Here is a 19,732-nt window from a genome sequence, read left to right as displayed (position 1 = left end):
ATAATCTCAATACTCCCCATAGAGTGTAAGTTTCCTGATGCTAAAATTCTTTATAACTATTCATTAATTACAGGAAGTCGTGTTCTATGTGTTGACTAAACAGCAATTATTTGGAGGTCAGGTTCATTTTCCTTCACTTGCTTATCCTCTAAATACAACATATACCTGAACTCATGAAATATGCTTACAATGGACCATAGCTGAAATATTCCATTTGTGAGTTATGTTTGTTTCTCTATATGTCATGCACTCCATTTCTGGAGAGAGACAGTGAGAGGAAGAGAGGCAGAAAGAGAGGAAGGCAAGAGGACATGGTAGGTACACAATATATAGTATGATTTAATGGTCTTAGCAATTGATCTAGAAAACCAAACATAACTGGTTTTCCTTTGGGGTAAATCAAACTACTATGGAGAGCTTTCAAAACAAGAATTTTGGAAGCCAGGAAATTTAGCAGGGATTGTCTAGGCAATTTCTTAATCCGTATGACGTTGGTTTGGAATACTGGGTAAAGCATCCATCTGACATATCAACTTGTGTGGAGGTTCAAGGATGGGTCCAGGGAAGTTCAAGGATGGGTGCAGTGAGATGCCTAGTGCCTTAGTAGGAACAGCTAGGAGACTAGGCCCAGCTGGATGCCTCACTTTCTCCATGTGATTGCAGAGCCTCTCTACATGGTGTCATTAACAATCTAGCTAGATCACTTACCAGAAAGCTCACAGGCTAAAGAGATCAAGGCAGCAGCTTCTAAACCCCTCAAGAACAGAGCAAAAACTGCTAATGTCACTTTCATTGTACTGCCTTGATTAAAGCAGTCACAGGCCAGCACAAATTTAAGGAGAAGGCAAATAGACCCAGATGACTGATGGGACTATTGTCAAAGAATTTATAGGAGGCTTCGTTAATCCCTCAAGCCAAGATCATTTTCTCTAAATGGTAGCGATAGTAGCATTGATAGTTGGTTCTCTACAGAGAGAAGATCCTAAGGGCTAATGGCCACTTGAAACAAGATGGACCTTATTTTTCCAGTTCTCACTCTTTTTTCTGTTATACAAAAGACTGTATCCTGAGCAGTTGGCATCAGAACTTTCAGTAACCCGAGTTTACTTACCATGTTTCTGCCATCTCTTGAAGGAAATTCCCTACAATGCGGACCTTTGATTCCAATGCTGTTAGAATCTAACCTGGCCAGGAGAGGCTGCTTCTGAAATCACATTGCCAAGGTACAGACATCCTTTCAAAGTCTATTTGAGGGTCTGTTGGCCAACAGTAGAGAAATATTTGAAGCAGGATCCCATAGCTGTTTCTTTCTTATTTTTTCATCCAGAAACAACAATTATTAAGACAAATGTGTGAATGATTTCATGAATGCACACATGGCAACAGAATTCTATATGCTCCATCAACTCTGGAAAGCAGAAGGATGTGACTAAGAGCACAAAAAATAATGTCCCATTCAATATATAGTTACTGGCTGCATTATTTACTGTTTTATTTTATTTTGTTTTTTAATTGTGGTAATGGCACTTAATGAGAACTACCTTTTAAACAATTTTTAAGTGTCCGATACAGTATCATTAACTGTAGGCACAGTGTTGTACAGCCTTTAGAACTTATTCATCTTGCACATCTAAATCTTTATACACATTAAACAGCAACAACTCATTTCCCTCTCACTCAGCCCCTGGAAAACCACCATTTATTCTATTCTTGACACTGTGAGTTTGACATTTTCAGATTCCTCATATAAGTAAGATCATGCAGTATTTGTTCTGTTACTGGCTTATTTTACATTACATAATGTCTTTGAGGTTCATGCAGCAGTGAACATAGGAGTGCAGGTATCTCTATGAGATCCCGATTATAATTCTATTGGATGTGGACAACAGGTATATAAAAAGATAATCAACAACACTAGTCATCAGAAGAATATAAATCCAAACCACAAGGAGATATCACCTCATACTAGCTAGGATGGCTATCATCAAAAAACAAGACAGGTGTTGATGAGGTTGGAGAGCCATACTGTTGGTGGGAATGAAACGGCATAGGAATTCAACACAATATTAAGAAATAGAACTGCCTTATGATCCAGAAACATCAATTTCTACATCCAAAAAAAAAAAAAAAACCTGGGTTCTTGTTTAGGCTAAACCACAGGGCTTCTGACTATGTGCAATGAGTTTCATATCAAGAGGGAGTGGCAAATTACACCTCTTTAAGCAGAAAAGTGATACTTTCCTGTGCTATCTAATGATATTTACTCACAGGTAAACCTATTGTGAAAGTCTACAGTTTAATTTTCTTTTTTGCCATATTTAGATAGTCTCTTACCCATGATAGTTCATCTTACCATTTTTCAGCTCTGTAATGGGTTTATTATGATGCAACTCCATCGTAAGTCAAGGAGCATCTGTTATGCTCTTAGTAAATTATCTAAATTTGTTAGTAAATTCCATTTTGCTGAATGGAGTAGTTGTGCTGAAGGTTTGGCAATCTGGAGAAGAGTAGCCCTTTGCAGAATCCCTGGGCAGCCCTATGATTTTATCAGTATGATTATTAAATATATCAGCAAGAAAGACAGAGCTTTTGAAAACACAGATCACATTGAATACTAATAACAGAAATAAAATGCAAGCAAAAATAAAAAAAAGCATTCTAAGTTTGAAACATCTTTAGTGATGTATTAAAATAACTACATCTGCCTGATGTATATTTTCAAATTCTTAGATAGTGACCACTTTTATGATCATGTCCCCCCTCTCTCATTCTGCTTCTTCATTTCCTCCTTATTCTCCTCCTCTTTATTTCTCTTTTCTCTCTATCTCTCCCTCTCAAAATACACCAACTCTGTCCTATAAACTCTGCAAGTTACAAGGGCTAAATTCCTTGAGCTAATGCCACTGTGGCATGAAGATTTTTGTGTCAGGAAATCCCGGGTATGATTTCAAATTTTCCAGATTGGTAATCTTGTGATCTGAGAGGAGTTATTGACATTTCGAGCTTTTCTTTTCACATTCTAATAGAGTGTGTGGAAATAAATACACGACGTATATACCCTAAAGGAATTCCCTTAAGGAATTCTTAATTCACATTCTCTACAGAAAACATGTGAATTATCCTTCCTTTTCTCCTCAGCAGAAATAAACTACTTCACCATCAATTTTCATGGTAGGAAGAGAAAAAACATATAGAGAAGTATTGAATCTTCCTACTAAAGCATAAAAATGTCTACCTCTATGAATTTATGATTGCTAATTCCATGAGTCATAGCTTGCAGCTAAGTAGCTTGTGTTTTAGGAGAAATTTTAAGATGCCAGTGTCTCATATAATTTCTTATATATTTTTCTTTATAAGTAAAATAAAATCTGAGGTTTTAATCCATCAAGCTTGCAGCTAAGTAGCTTGTGTTTTAGAAGAAATTTTAAGATGCCAGTGTCTAATATAATTTCATATATATTTTTCTTTATAAGTAAAATAAAATCTGAGGTTTTAATCCATCACCCACTGGAAGCTTGGAGTCACAAATGTGCTAAATTTACCAGTAGAGATAGAGACAACCATACCCTGGCTAAACCGCAGCCGTAACAGTGACTGACAAATAGGGAAGTTTGGTCAATCTTGACTTTCCACAAGGGCAGCAGTAGAATTATTTAAACTTTCAGCCACTTGAGAAACAAAATATTGAATGTTTGTAAAAATTAAAATTAACCTTTAAATGTAAGGTGTATTTTAATCACTGAGTACCTAATCTCTGCCATTGTCTCACTAACACTTTCCACTGAAGCTAAATTTGTGCACTGTCCAATATTGCCATGCATATTCCAGACCCCAAGCCTGGGTTCATGTCAAGTGCCCTTTCCATGAATACCCTGCTTTCTCCATGCAATTCACAGCCTACAAACATGGCCTTCCCCCACAGGTACTCTTCATTCATATGCTTCCATTGTGATCACTATGGTCTCTGAAGTCTGTGTTTTGTGTTTATTAAAATGTTTTCTGTATTACTGTACAGATTTGCATATCTGTTTCCATATCATTGAACATTCTAATCATAGCATTTCAACTTCGTAAGTTGTATCTTATATGTGTTTATATCCCACATTTTATACAGAGTAGAAACACATTCAGCACACTTCGAATTGCCAATGATGAATGAAGAAAACAGATTTCTGGATTATGCTGCTGATGGATATGCATCCGTTAAATGTCTGATTATTTTTGTTTTCTATACAGACAAGAATTTATGGAAGATGCATTATCTTCATAAAATCGTTTGGGAAAATTCAGAATGTGTAATATATATAGCATATAATATACTAAATATTAAAATACTTAAATATAAATTGTGTAGATAACATAAAGAATTTTATAGGTACCTAAATCACCATAATCAGGCAGTTGAAGAGAAGACTTACTGCTGCCAAGATGTTTAGTGCCTTCATTTAGAAAATGGTTAATGAAACTTTTACATATATCGAAATCTCTTAGTACTCATATTAATTTGCATAAGCAGATCCTCCAATGAAATATGAGAACCTTAAGGCCAGGTACCATATGTGGGTAAATAGATAGATATTTCAAATTTGTACATTCACAAGAATCTCTGGGGCAACTTGTCACAAAACTTATGCCTGGGACCCACTGCCCTGGATTCTAATTCAGTAGGTCGAAGATGTGAGTAGATTTGCACGATAATGAGCACTTTACATGATTTAGTTATTAAGTGGTCCACATGTCCCATTGGAGAAACACTGGGAGTCCTACCCATTTTCTGTAAAATAATAGATGTTAAATGAATAAATGAAAAACTGAACAAATTAAGAAAAAGAACCAAAAGTAGGCCAGGCACGGTGGCTCGTGCCTGTAATCCCAGCACTTCGGGAGGCCAAAGTGGGTGGATCATTTGAGGCCAGGTGTTCAAGACCAGCCTGGCCAACATGGTGAAACCCCAATTCTACTAAAAGTACAAAAAATAGCTGGGCATGGTGGTGCATGCCTGTAGTCCCAGCTACTCAGGAAGCGAACGCAGGGGAATCACTTGAACCCGAGAGGCAGAGGTTGCAGTGAGCAGATATCGCACCTCTGCACTCCAGTCTGGGTGACAGAGTGAGGCTCTGTCTCAAAAAAAAAAAAGAAAGAAAAATAAGCAGAAGTACACATGTGTAGTTTAGACATAGAAGGAACCTTACCACTTTCTCTCATAAATATGTGTGTCTACCTTGGAGGTTTTTGTAAGAATTTAAATGTGCAGGCTTGTTTATTTGTTCTAGCCCGTTAGGCATTTTTATTTTGCAGTCTTCTGTGGTATTATCTAATAAACAAAATGTGTACAACATTTTCATCTTGGATTCTTTTTAGTGGGTAAAAATGCAAGAAAACATTTTGGAGGATCTACTGCTATATGAATATTATTAGTCAGGAGGCATAAACATATGGTAGGCTAGTGACTCAAGCTCAACAAGTAATGTTTATAATCACAGATGCATTTTCAATGTTATGAACTTGTGTACAGCAGAGAGTAATTCCCAATTACAAGCCCCTACATATCAAGGTGATTGGAAAACAGTAGTCAGAGGTAATTTGCAGGCAATCGGGCACCTACAATTGTTTACCAGGGAAGTAATAAGAAACAAAACAAAATGATACACAGGTAATCACATCTTGTTGATTCAACCCAGCATCACAAGAGAATAAGAGGCAACAATTCAAGTTAAAATTTTTGAAGTAAACATTGCCAGTGAAGCCTTTCCAACAAACATTTAGAATATGCCGTAACCATTTACCTAGGATGTATTGAAAAGAGAAGCATTTTATTTTTAAACAAATGCACAATGCAGTAATTTATGGAAATTAATTTTGCTGCTCTGTATTTTTGGCTTTAAAAATGTACTAAATGGAAAGGCTACACAGTGTTCCCTTAGTAAGATTTTATCAAAGACAAGGGTAAATTATTTTGCAAATACTGGATACATGGATACATGACAGAAATGGCCAACCAAACAAATAAAACATACTTTCTTACTTGGACTATGTCTATATAGTTTATTCTATCTTTATCCATTGGCTTACCTTTTACAATTGAGAAAAATGCACATCATTTTGTATATTATGTGCCTATTTGATCCCTATACATATACATTTGTTGGCATGACATGATGAAGATAAAATGTGAAGAAATGCATGGAAACATAATGGCAGGACTTTGCCTTTTTAATTGTTGCCTATTCAGCAACATATGGTCTTGAACCACTTGCACACAAATCAAACTGAATATTTGTGTCCGACCTCCCTAGAGTTCATAAGTTGAATTCCTAACCCCAAATATGATGGTATTTGGAGATGAGGCCTTTGGAATGTAGTTAGGCTTAGATTAGGTCATTTCATGATGAAAATAGTGGCTCAAAAAAATTTAAAAAAGGAGATTCCCCATCCTCCTCTCAGTGCTTGCAAAGAAGAAAGCCCATGTGAGGACATGGTAAGACGGTGGCCATCTGCAAACCAGGAAGAGACACCTCACCAGGAATAAAATCATCTGGTACCTCGATCTTGGACTTTCTAGCTTCTGGAAGTGTGAGAAATAAATCTCTGTTTTTAAAACCACCCAGCCTATGGTATTTTGTTCTGGCAGCCTGAAGAGATTAACGCAATAGTCTGTTGGAGATGTGTGTAAGCCAGTCCCACTTCAGATTACTAAATCAAAATTTCTGGGGACTGAAATATGAGCAATTTGATCATTGAGGAAACTTCAGGATAATTGTAAACACAAGTTTGAAAACCAATAACAATATTCTAAAAGTTAGAATGACAAAATAATTGATCATCCAAACTGCCACACTGTTTAAAATGAAAAGGAGCATTGCAATAGTTAAGCTAGGACAAGGTAATCTGAAAATTTCCTGAGAAAATCATTGCATATGATCATTTTGCCTGTATAGCTTCACATTTAACCAATTTTTTTAATTAAAACGATCATTCTGCTTGATGTTTTCACTATGTTCAAATGTAGCTTCGTGCATAAAATTTGGGTGGGGGGGAATCAATGTATGTATCTGTGTGGTGAGGATGTAGGCGTGTGTTTACTCATAATATATATTTTATTCGGTTAAAAAAAAGACAGCTATTATGCTAAGCATTGTGAGAATGGAACGTAGGCTGTGAATTACTCTTGAATTTAATTTAAAAATTTTTTATCACAATATTGGTAAGATATAAATGTTTGCCATTTTCCCCTAACTTATTTCAACACTGTTCACAATTTCAGATAAATTCATTATACAATCCAGAAACCACACTTATTTGTGTTTACCCAAATGAGTTGAAAATTTGTGTTTATACAAAAACCCATATGTAGATGTTTATGCAGTTTTCTTTCTAATCACTGAAACTTGGAAGCAAGTAGATGCCCTTCAGTAAGTGAGTAAATAAATAAATTGTGGTCCATGCAGATAATGGAATATTAGTCAGAGTTAAAAGGAAATGAGCTACCACACTGTGAAAAGACATGAAGAAATCTTAAATGCATATGACTAAGTAAAAGAAATCAATCTGAAAGGCTAACTGTATGATTCCAATTGCATAACATTTGAAATAGGCAAAACTATGGAGACAGTAAAAAGATTCGTGGTTGCCAGGGGTTGAGGGAGGGGAGGGATAGAGAAGAGACAATTTTTAGAGCAGTGAAACTATTCTTTTTGATACTATGAAGTAGTTTAATGTTGCCATAGTTGTCAAAACCCATACCATATACAACACCAAGTGTGAACCCTGTTGTAAAATCTGGACTTCGGAGAGTAATGATGTGTCAATGTAGGCTCATCAATAGTATCAAATGTACCATTCTGGTATGGAATACTGTTAGTGGGGAGGCTGTGCTCATGGAGGAAGTAAAGGGTATATGGGAATTCTTTGTACTTTCTGCTCAATTTTACAGTGAAAGGACCTAAAATTGCTCTAAATATAGTCTATTTAAAAGGAGAAATAAGAAGTTACTGTGTATCAGTTGTACTTTAAGTGATCCCAGAAAATGCGTCTGGGTTCCAGGTTAGAAAGTGATCATCTTTTACTGAAATCATGTTGCTATGGCAATTTGGCTGTAACACTTTCTGATTATCTATATGTCTCTAGGAGGGGTCATAGCTAAGCACATGCAGCTGGGCCATCCTGAAGAGAGCGTTATGATTTTTTTTTTTTTTCTTTTTTGAGATGGAGTCTCCCTCTGTCACCGGGCTGGAGTGTAGTGGCGCAATCTTGGCTCACTGCAACCTCCACCTCCTAAGTTCAAGCAATTCTCTTGTCTCAGCCTCCTGAGTAGCTGGGACTACAGGCTCGTGCCACCACGCCCAGCTAATTTTTTGTATTTTTAGTAGAGACGGGGTTTCACCATGTTAGCCAGGATGGTCTGAATCTTCTGACCTCGTGATCTGCCTGCCTAGGCCTCTCAAAGTGCTGGGATTATAGGCCTGAGCCGCCGCGCCCAGCCAAGAGTTGTGATTTTAAATTAATCCCGAGACAATCCTTTCAGAGAAGTATGTGTCCGTTTTGGATATGGTCTTTTCTATCCATGAGCAAATTTGGCTGGCAAATTTCTTCCCATTTCATCCTGGAAGTGGTTGTAGATATGTGTCATTCACTTCATAATACTTAGTTTTACCTTTACATATCTATTTTGCAAAACTCACTAATGATTTTATTGTAAACCTTTATCTTTGATAATAATCTCATATTTCTCCCCACCAAAGACAAGTCCTATTTATAATTAATTCTCCTTAGGAAAGACAGCTTTACTTTTTTCAAGTGGTAGAAAATATAAATTTCTTTCATAAGTTCTTTGCTTGTTCATTTCTGTATCAATTCAATTCCTACTAATGTAATTATCGTAAGATAAAACATTGTTTTTTTAATAAGGGTGCTTGAGGCTTTTTCATATGCATGAGTTAGATGAATCATTTATTATAATATTATTATAATTTATTTTGATAAGAATAATTTTCATTTCTATTTAGCTTCAGGAAAATTTTTCTGAATTCCCTCAATTATATGTTCACAATATGTGAAAGTTATGGGATCTTCTTTTCTGATACCTGAGGCTCTCCTCTCAAAGTCATTATTACTTAGCCAATCAATTCAGAAAAAAAAGAAAATAGTGATTTACTTTTTTATATTCAAAATATGACAAAACAAGTCATTGAATACTCCTTTCTGCTTTTAAAGGCTATTTTTAACATAAATATATAACTCCTTCTCATAAATTAAGATATTGTCTGTAAAAGTATTTGGTAAAGCCTATAGGTAACAGTTATAATTGACAACTTCTTAAGAATTGTACTGTAACTAATCAAGTGCGAGTTTGATTGAAAGTCATTGGTGTATTTATTAAAGATGACATGCTTCAAATATTTTTAATGAAAATACATTTATGAAAAAATGACTTATGTTTGAAGGATCAAATATGTTTATATTTTATAATTATATGCATATATAGATGGACATATAAATACATATATACACATAGATATACAGATATTTATACACATGTTTATAATCTATCTCATGGACATGAGGACAATATTCTATGTTATGGCATAGTTAATATACCCTGAGTAAACTTTATCCTCCAGAATATGCGTTTTTAACTTTAAAACGTAAGACTCTATTAACAGAGCTATTAAATTTATGTATGTAGAGGTGGGTGTTTATGTATGCGTAATCACAGATGGGTATTTAATATTTTTCATTTCTTTATTCAATCCAAGGGTTCATCATGCAAAAATGTTAAACGTCCCTCTTTGCACTACTAAGATAAAAAATGTGATTTTTTACAGATGATTTATAGAATAAACCTTATCAGTTTCTTTATTTTGCCTAAATACTTAGATCTAGTTCTCCTTAAAGTTGTTTTCTAACAAAAATAGTGAGTTTCTTAGTCTTTGATACGTGTTAATATGCCTCCTGCCTATAATCTCTGTTTAAGTGTCCAAACTCCTCAAATGTTTTCCATCATTAAACATTGATAACTCTGCCAGGAAGCTATGTAAATTGTTCTATAAAGATGAAAATTAGCCTCTGCTTAAATCAATATGACCACCTTAGTTGAAACTTCTGAGGAGCTCAAATTGTAAAATGTTCAGCACACTAGCACTAGGAATAGGGTGGCAGGACTACCCTTGAGGGACCATGTACTTATTATTATTATTATTTTTTTAGTTGGAGTCTCACTCTGTCGCCCAGGCTGGAGTGCAGTGGCGTGATCTCCGCTCACTGCAACCTCCGTCTTCTGGGTTCAAGCGATTCTCCTGCCTAGCCTCATGAGTAGCTGGGATTACAGGCATGCGCCACCACGCCCAGCCAATTTTTTTTTTTTTAATTTTTAGTAGAGACGGGGTTTCACCATACTGGTCAAGCTGGTCTCAAACTCCTGACCTTGTGATCCACCCGCCTTGGCCTCCCAAAGTGCTGGGATTACAGGCGTGAGCCACCGCATCCGGCCGAGGGACCATCTACTTTAAGGAATGCAGAGAGATAGACATCTTAATTTACTTAATAGGATGTTTGGGGCATGGGATAAGTAAATTTTTCAAAGAGACAGTATTCATGCATTGGTAAGATATTGTTTTTCTCAGACGTGTGACTTTATCCCAAAAATATGCTATTTTAAAAGACATTTCTTAAAATATGTATGTGTATGTTTGTTGATACTTGCTTATTATATAGCTCATACTGTTTATTAAAATATATCTATTACAGGAGTTATTAGAACGGCCTTACATAACATGGACAGAGAAGCCAGAGAACATTACTCCGTAGTCATTCAAGCCAAAGACATGGCTGGGCAAGTTGGAGGGCTTTCAGGATCTACAACAGTCAACATCACCTTAACCGATGTCAATGACAACCCACCACGCTTTCCTCAAAGTACGTATTTGTTTTCCATGATTTGAATTTATCATTATCTCTTTATGTAAAGTAAAATGAAATACTTGAACAGTGTTATGTTACTGTTTTCTTAAGTGGAATTGTTCTGTTTTTGTACTATATGATCACCCTTCTTCATGTAAGACTCATGAAATCACTCCAGCTATTGTCTTCTGAACCTAGGAAATAATTGGGAATGTGTTCAGAGTTGGAGTTTCATTTGGCATCAAGTTAAATATTAAAAATGATGTGGTGGTACTAAAAAATGGCATCTTGCCTTTGGCGAAGTATCTGTATATTCTTAAAGTATTCATGGAGATGTTGAAAAGGTATTTTGATGTGAACATTCTTTTCATGCAACATTATTCCATACATTCTGTGACTGAATTTTTTAAAAAAATTCTTCATGTTATGAATAAATGCTGTATACAAATGCATGCATGTATGCACACACACACACACACACACACACACACACACACACGCATCATCCAAAAGCAAGTTGAAGTTAATATGATAAGATGAGGTCTCAGAGTAAAATATAAGACTTGAAAACAGAAAGCATAATTCAGTAGGCAATTTTGGGGGGAGAGGAGAAATATGAATCCTGTGGGTTTGGAGGGAGATGGTGTTTATGACATGTTCTGAATGTAAAGGATATAATTATAATATATTTGAGTTTTTAAAAATGGAAGATACTATAGATAACATTTTATACGACAGTCACTAATAATCACAAATATCCTACAGAGGAGTTGTCTCTTATGTTCCTCTTACAAATGATGTCTAAAAACTGTCATAAATTAGATCCTTTGGTACGTCATACAGGCTCTTCTCAAATCAGCGCGAAATGCCTTTCTCAACTTTATCTCTTGTCTCTTAATAGCATTTGCAGTACACCTCAGGCCTAGACACTGTGGAATACTGCCTCCTCCTAAAATATAATAACACTTTGTACGTCCTTACTTCAACTAAAATTTTTCCTTATTCACGGCCCTTTGTTAAAATCCCTGCTACAAGTTTCTCTGAAGTTCCTGTTGCAGAATTAGAACAGTTTTGCAATTAATTCCTGTTGCAGAATTACTCACTCTTTTTTCCCTCTTGCACAGCACTTTTGCATGCTTGTTCGTGTTATACTAATTTTCCCTCTTGCACAGCACTTTTGCATGCTTGTTCATGTTATACTAATTTCTGCAGGTACATAGATCCCCTTGCACAGCACTTTTGCGTGCTTGTTCATGTTATACTAATTTCTGCAGGTACATAGATCCCCTTCCACTTATGAGATCCTCTAGGAAGACGCTTAATTGTTTTGCGAACTTAGGTGTTCAGCCCAGTGAGGGCCCAGCATTTGATAAATGATTCTTAGTGAGTAAATTAGTTGAATTTAAATACTCTGTCAAACCATCATTATTAAAAGATTATTATTAAATACATGCAAATCATAGTCATAGTTAAATAAAAATCATTTTAAAATGTTGATGCCAGAGATAAGATAATGTTACCTGGTGCATTCATGTGGCGTTTGCTCTATGAAGAAAGTATATATCATAGGTAAGTCCATATTTTATTGAGCCATAAAATATAATTAAATTTTAAACCATTTTGCAGATTAGGATGAACTTTTGTATCAATGTTATCACTTAGTTCAACAATGTGCATATACATGAGGTAAATGTTATTATTTCATAGATTGGTACAATTGAAGTTGAAGATAAAGATAATAAGCGATAATTCAGACTCAACAGAATATACTCTTTATTATAATTTAGGATACCAACTTGCCTATCTTGTTTTCAAATAGATTCTACCACCACTATTTTAAAGATGTACATTCATATTGTAGCCTTAATAGACAGAAAACTCAGGTTGTAAATCATAGGATTCAGTAAATGCTAGTTTGTAGTAAATATAGCATCTCCCACTCTCTCTTTTTCTCCATTTCTTCCTAAAATAATTATTAAAATTACAGGTTTATTAAGATTGACTTTGCAGATGTACAGAAAATTTTAATTGTGATGGATATAAGGAATATTATTCATATAGATGAATATAGATATATAATAAAGAGATATTTGTTCCTAATTTTATTATGTTGATCAATAATAGTGTCATTGTTGAAGCATCAGTGTACAGTGAAAATAATCACTTTACCTGACAAAACAGAATAAGTGTATACTCTCTGAGTTAACTCATTGTGTCTAATGAATTCTATGTTTCTTCAGTCAGTAACATTCTGGCAGAATGACTGACAGATGTAAATCCTGCTGCATTTCAAGGTGTTCTTAGAGTTTTGAAAAGGAGGCACTACACAATCAGAAGTTTACACTTGGGGTTTCTTAAAAGATACTTTATTTCGCACTCCATTTGAACAAAACAATTCTGCTTTTGCAACAGTTTGGTGTCACCATGACAAAAGTAGCTTGTAGTAAAGTGCTCTTTAATTTATCCATAAATTGCAGCTTATTAAACAGCTATGTACCTAGTGGGGAAGTATTGTAAACTGCTTGGAGAAAAGAAATAATATAAGGACTTGTATTCACAAAATACCATGACATGCGCAAGTCTATACACAGCTCAAATTCTATAAAGTTCATATCCTGTCATCAAATGGATCCAGTAGTTGAATTGTTTCTCTTAATGTGAGGTTTTTACAGTTGCCCTTTCTACTTCTTTCTCTCATCACCTGTCTGAGACAGTTATATTTCTTACAATTGACACTTGAATAAACATCCCTAACTACAAATTTTGCAAAAATATTCTCTCAAAGTGTTTTTTCCTCCATGCTTAATCTACCATGCTTGAGAAAGTGAGTAGGCTAGTTATATTGCATGGTAATTAGTTATCCCTTTATCTTGAAGTAAATAGGCTTTGAGTAAGTGTTAGAGAGGTAGTAAATTAGAGCTAGTAATTTGCTTTACAATGTCTCTACTCTAGAGAGTTACAAACTCAGTAGCTTAGGATACAAGTCAGATAAATGTCTTGGAGGAAACAGGCTGCTTGTCAGTATCAGGAATGTGAAAAAGGAGCATAGAGACTGGATAATGCATGCCCAACTACAAGGGTAGCTACTATTTAATTCAAATTGATGCCTACCTCTGGGCTACATGGTGTTGGAAAAGGAGCCACTCAAACAAAACAAAGCAAAACAAAAGGACTCATAGTGAAAGAAAACAAATCAGCCCATCTATGGCTTGAAATTCTACTCAAAGTACACAAACGATGTGTACTTCTCCTTCTAGAGAAAATCATCCATCTAAAGATATAAAATTCCCTAGTGTGTGTTCTTTCATTAAAGGTAATCTATTTTATTCTGCCATTTCCTATTCTAGTTTTTAAAAACTTTATTCTGGGTTATGGTTGTTGCATAACTTATTCTTGGATAGGTTAAAAAGTCACTGACATTTATTTATTCTGCACAAACCATATGCATATAAAATTCAATACCTTACATGAAAGTTTACAAAACAAACCTTCTATATCCTAAATGGAAGGAATTATATTGTTGTATTGAGGATTGCTCTTGTAAGATAAGTCATCTAGTAACAGAAAGAAGCATAACACATGCCAAATAATCACAATGAATCAACCTTTAGGGCTTGATCCTCCAATATTACATTGCACCAACTGCAGCCACAAGTGAGCTTCAGTTTTTGGAAATTTGCTATCATTATGTTAGCTTAATCTAACATAACTTTCTCCAGAACTTAAATGATAGTAAATTGCCAAGAACGTAAACTCACTTGTGACTGCAGTTGGTTTAGTGCCATGTAATATTGGAGGATCAAGCTCTAAAAATTCAATAGATGGCAGTATTTCCCATAAAGTTAGTAAACATCACAATTGTTTAACTGGTTTGGGTAATTTCTAAAGTTAATGAGAAAGAAAATATTGCTGAAGATATTGGCATTGATTTTTTTTGGGGGGGGAGCTGTTGTTTTTATTATTTTCATTGTTATGGGTACAAATATGAATTTATATAATATTTTCATCATTAAAATTTTGTTTGAAACAAATTAAAAGAAAAAGAAAACAAAGCTTCTCCCTTGACCCATCAAAATATGCAGGATTTTTTTTAATTATCAAAGAATTGAGGTCTTTCTAGTGTCTTTTGAAAATGATATCTGGGTCATTTTATTATAGTTGTAGGCATATATTTTGAAACGTTTTGAGCATTTCTTTAAAATGACAGTATATATTTGATTTTGATAACTGTTCCTACTCACTTTGAAATAAGATAAATTCTGCAGCTGCATGTTTAGTATTCTACATATGTAAATTTCATTCAAGTTTATTCCTTGTACCATTCCAATTTTCTATATCCTTATAGAATTTTTGCTCGTCTGTTATTGAGAGAGATGTTAAAGTCTTCCAAGATGATACTAGATGTTTCCATTTCTCTTTTTTCCTCTGTTTAATTTTTCTTAGATGCAGTTTTAAACCATGCTATTGGATGCACACAGATCGAAGGCTTTGATATCTTTCTCTTGATTAAAATTGTTTTATTGTGAAATATATGTCTATAGTTCTAATAATACTCCATACCTTAAAGTCTAATTTGTCTCCTATAGCTATTCCAGAGGTTTCTTTTTTTTCTTCATTTCTTTTTGGTTATGGTTTGTGTGGTATAATGTTTTCTATAATTGTACTTTCAAACTTTATTGTTCTTAATTTTTTATTCTTAATTTATAAATGTTTCTTGTGACCACTTAGCTAATATTTTTGTTGTTGTTTAGTTTAAAATGACATTATAATTTCTCTTGCTTTTGTTGATTTACTACACTTATAAGTATCTTAATTACTGATATAGTTTCATTTAGGTATATCATTTGCTATTTGGCTAATCTTTTCTTCTCCTTTTTTCCCCTCTCTCATATTCTTTGAATTATTTAATTTCATTCATTTTGTCCTCCATTCACTTTTTAAAAATTTTACATTTTTATACTTTTTTCTATTTAAAAAATACTGTAGATATTATTATTTATTTCACTCTACCTTAAATTATAATTTCATTGCTTGAAAATAGAATGACTTTAAAACTGTTTAATGTCATTAACCCTTTGTTGTTGTTTTTTCTATTTTTGTCATCTTATATATTCAGTCCTATATGAAATTGTCATTGTTGCTGTTGTGTTAAATAGCAAATCATTATTTTTTAAGACAGTAATAATTTACCCTTCCTGGTACTATTTATTTCTCCTTGAATTTCTGTGTTTCCTTCTAGAATTATTGTTTTCTAAAGGGAATTGTAAATTTCTTAAAATATTATTTTCCCATTTTTAGTGACAGAAAACTGCCAATGAATTTTCTCAGCTTTTCTATATAAATTTACAATTTTGCCTTTATTTGCAGAAGGTATTTCCAATCAGAATAGAATTTTAGTTTGAAGGATTTTCTCCATTTCAATAATTATTAATATAATTTGCTGTTTACCATTTTGTTCATTGAAAAATCAACTGTAGAATTCCTTTACTGTACAATAGTTTACTGTAGTTTATTGGACCTTTCTTCTATTAAGATATTCTTTGTTATATTTTGTTTTCAAAAATTTAACCTACAATGCACCTAGGTATTTACTTTTTAAAAATCTGACTAATGGTTGTAAAGATTTTTTAAGCTATCTTTTATTAGTTTTGAGAAACTCTTGGTTAGAATTTTTTCAAGTATTTCTTCGACCTCATTTTCTCACTTCTTTTCTATTAGTTCTACAAAGTATGTCAGCTAGGTCTTTCAGTTATATAACATTCATCTATTACTGTCTTTGCTGTATAATAATTATTATTCTACAGTCTTCTACAGTCTTCTTTAACCTGGATATTTTATATTAACCTATATTCTAGTACACCAATCCTTTCTTCTGCTGTTTGTTCAGCAATTAAACCCATCTATTAAATATATTAAGTACACACTTCAGCATTGACATTTTTGTTCTAAAATTTTTATTTGGTTTAGTAGATAAAGATTATTGGTATCTGTTGAAATTCCCCACCCTTTTCTTTATTTAAACATATTAACCATAAACATATTAACCATACTTATTTCAAAACTTTTTGTAGAATTCTAATATCATAATCATGCCTGGGTCATTTTTTACATTTTTTCCTTCTTAGTTTTAGCCAATGCTCATTTTTAATCATGACTTTGAATTACTGATTGAACATTACATAAAGGAGTTGCAGAGGTTCATGATTGTGCAATCTTTCAAAGAGGGGCAAGTTATTTCTTGCAGACATATACAGTGTGGATTACTTAAATCAGTTGGATTCTGTTAGCACTAGCTTATTTTATTGCTCTCCTTACTTCCGGGAAGTAGCTCTTATTCCTGGAATCCGGATCTTTCTTTACTTACTCTCCACTGGTCTCAAGTGTTTACCAATTTCTGACTCTCCAGTAACTCATGGCTGCTGAAATCTCTGCCTAGCGCCTTTGCCTTCCAGATGCACTTTCTGTTGGTTTCTCAGAGCCTCTACAAGTGTCAAAGTAGTGGATGTGTCTACAATTACCACAAGAAAAATTGCATTTGTTTTTTTCCTCACTTACCTGAGGTTTCTTCTTCTCTGTGCTTTTGTCCTCAATTTCTCAGCCCCTGTGCCAGCTCTGAACTCCAACCTGTCTCCAAAAGCTACACAATTTTTGCTTGGACTCTTTCAACCAGCACTACATATTTTTAAATACCCTCAGTATATGTGCATATAAAATTTGTTTTGTTATGGTTTCTTTCTCTCAAGAATCATACTCCATCCTGAGTTCCCTACATTAATTGCCTTCAATGCCTTAAAACAGTCATTTTCTATATACTATGCATCTTTTAGAGTTGTTTTATATGACAGAGTTAGATATACCCCTCCATCATATCCAGATTTGAAAGATCATTCCACTTAAGTTTAAATAGAAAGATTATGGAAGATAATTAGATGTATTCTCTATCAATTTGTATTCTATGTGGCTAAATTGAAAGGATGAACTCTAAAATAAAGATGAAATTATTAAATTAACTTTAAATGAGTAATATTATTATTTTATTTTCATTTAGCCTTCATAGAAACACAATATTTTTATCTTACATCATGATATTTAGTTTATAAAGATAATTGAAAATTATTATGTATTTATTATAATAAGACACATACACCTGTAGATCATATTCTTTCTAACAAAGTAACAGCTATAAATAAATAATAGTATTACATTCTTCTGATTTTAGAATTGAATATTTTGAAATTATATGGAGCTCTCTGTTTAGAAACGTACTAGTCATGACATTTCAATTGTATTACGGTTTGTTTTTAATCTATGTGGTTGTGTACTATAATAAAGTTACAGAATAATTCCTTTTCCTTTACATAATATTTTGTTTAGGTAGGTATGTTTATGGTAATAAGCATATATTTCTTGGAAATAATTTGATTCTTATAGTTAGGCATTACAAATCAATTTGCACACCTTCAAAGAATACTTAAAAAGTGGACTGAATTTCAATTAAAATTTCTAATAGTCTTTCTTCAAGCATTTATGTGTTATTTATGATTAAGAGTGAGAGAAAACAAAGAAAGTGTTCCACTATAATACTTGAGAGAAAAAAAAAACTTTCTATAGAATAATCAGCTTTCCTATAGTGCATGTTGACACATAGAAACAGAATGTATTGGGTTAAACGATTTTAAAGATATTTCTTAGAACAGTAAAGATTCTGATAGAGGAAAATTGCCCTTTTTATTTATGGCATTCAAATGGCAGTAGTACTTAAATTTACTTTATTTATGTTTTAAAAAACATTGCACGTAGAGCCAACCACAATGCTTAATAATCAATATTCAGCTTAAGTCTCTTAAATGCAGGAAAATCTCAGAATACTTTGTGTGTGTGTGTGTGTGTGTGTGTGTGTGTGTGTGTGTGTGTGTGTTTTAATTTGAAATTAGCATTCTCAGCATAAACTGTATTTGCATAAACATTTAAAGTGGAGATTATAAAAACTGTCTGGTTAATTTTATCAGGAAAGACAGGCAAACTCTGTAAGTCAGACATCATAGTTTCTAACCTCTCACATGTCAGTCAGTTTTCCCTGAGAAGCATCTCACTTTCTCAAGTAAATACTATAAAATAGTAAATAGTTCTAACAAATGTAATGATTAAATTTATTACAGCTTTTGTAAGATAGGGCCTTGGGGTAATCATAGGGAATGACTTATTCAAGTAAATGACAAAATTACTGTAGTAAAGACACAAGGTCTTTTAAAAAGCAACTAGAATCAGTGCTGTCCTGGAGGAAAAGAAAGTATATTAAAAGGGACAAGCCTCAGTGAGACAAATGCCCTTTTATTATTCCCACCATGTCTTCCTTCCTTAAGTGTATTTTCCATAATCAGTAGTATATTATGATGCAGTCTAAGAAATTATGTGAAAAGATCACATGTGGCATACAAAACTATGGTGCATCCAGATACAAAGCTGTTACACAGTGAGATCTGTATTCCTAAGCTGTGAAAAATTATGTAGTCTTAAAACCAGAATAAATTATTCTAGTACTACTTGAAGAAATTAAAAAGTAAAAAAAATTCTAATGAGTTAGAACATAATTTATATATATTTTATTTATGTATTTATAATTTATATATTTATATATATTTTATTGATACTATAAACAATTTGGTGCCTAAAATTGAAAAATGCACATTGCCCTACCTCATATCTCAGAAAATCTAAGCCTCACACACTGAAAATCCAAGCAAAACTAGCATTTTGAAGATAATTATATATTTTGGTAGTAATATCACTTTTTGTGATTTTGGTCAGATTTTCATCATAAATTCCCAGCATT

At 33.5% G+C, this 19,732-nt stretch overlaps 1 protein-coding gene across 20 annotated transcripts in view; it reads left to right on the top strand.

Annotated features, from left to right (window-relative positions):
• The window catches only part of CDH18 (cadherin 18), a 1,104,418-nt gene that overhangs the window by 952,366 nt on the left and 132,320 nt on the right, over nucleotides 1-19,732 (top strand). For 18 of the 20 annotated variants that reach the window (XM_005248228.5, NM_001349556.2, XM_017008924.3 and 15 more), the window contains one exon: nucleotides 10,747-10,914. In XM_005248228.5, coding sequence (XP_005248285.1) covers nucleotides 10,747-10,914 — 168 coding nt within the window. Of the gene's footprint in view, nucleotides 1-1,134; nucleotides 1,224-10,746; nucleotides 10,915-19,732 lie in introns of all 20 variants that reach the window. The other 2 variants (NM_001349562.2, NM_001349563.2) reach the window with 1 other exon arrangement.

This window comes from Homo sapiens, chromosome 5 (assembly GCF_000001405.40).
Source record: "Homo sapiens chromosome 5, GRCh38.p14 Primary Assembly".
In the NCBI taxonomy this organism is placed as follows: domain Eukaryota; kingdom Metazoa; phylum Chordata; class Mammalia; order Primates; family Hominidae; genus Homo; species Homo sapiens.
The sequence above is the reverse complement of the archived record's forward strand: the minus strand, read 5'-3'. Positions and strand labels throughout refer to the sequence as shown.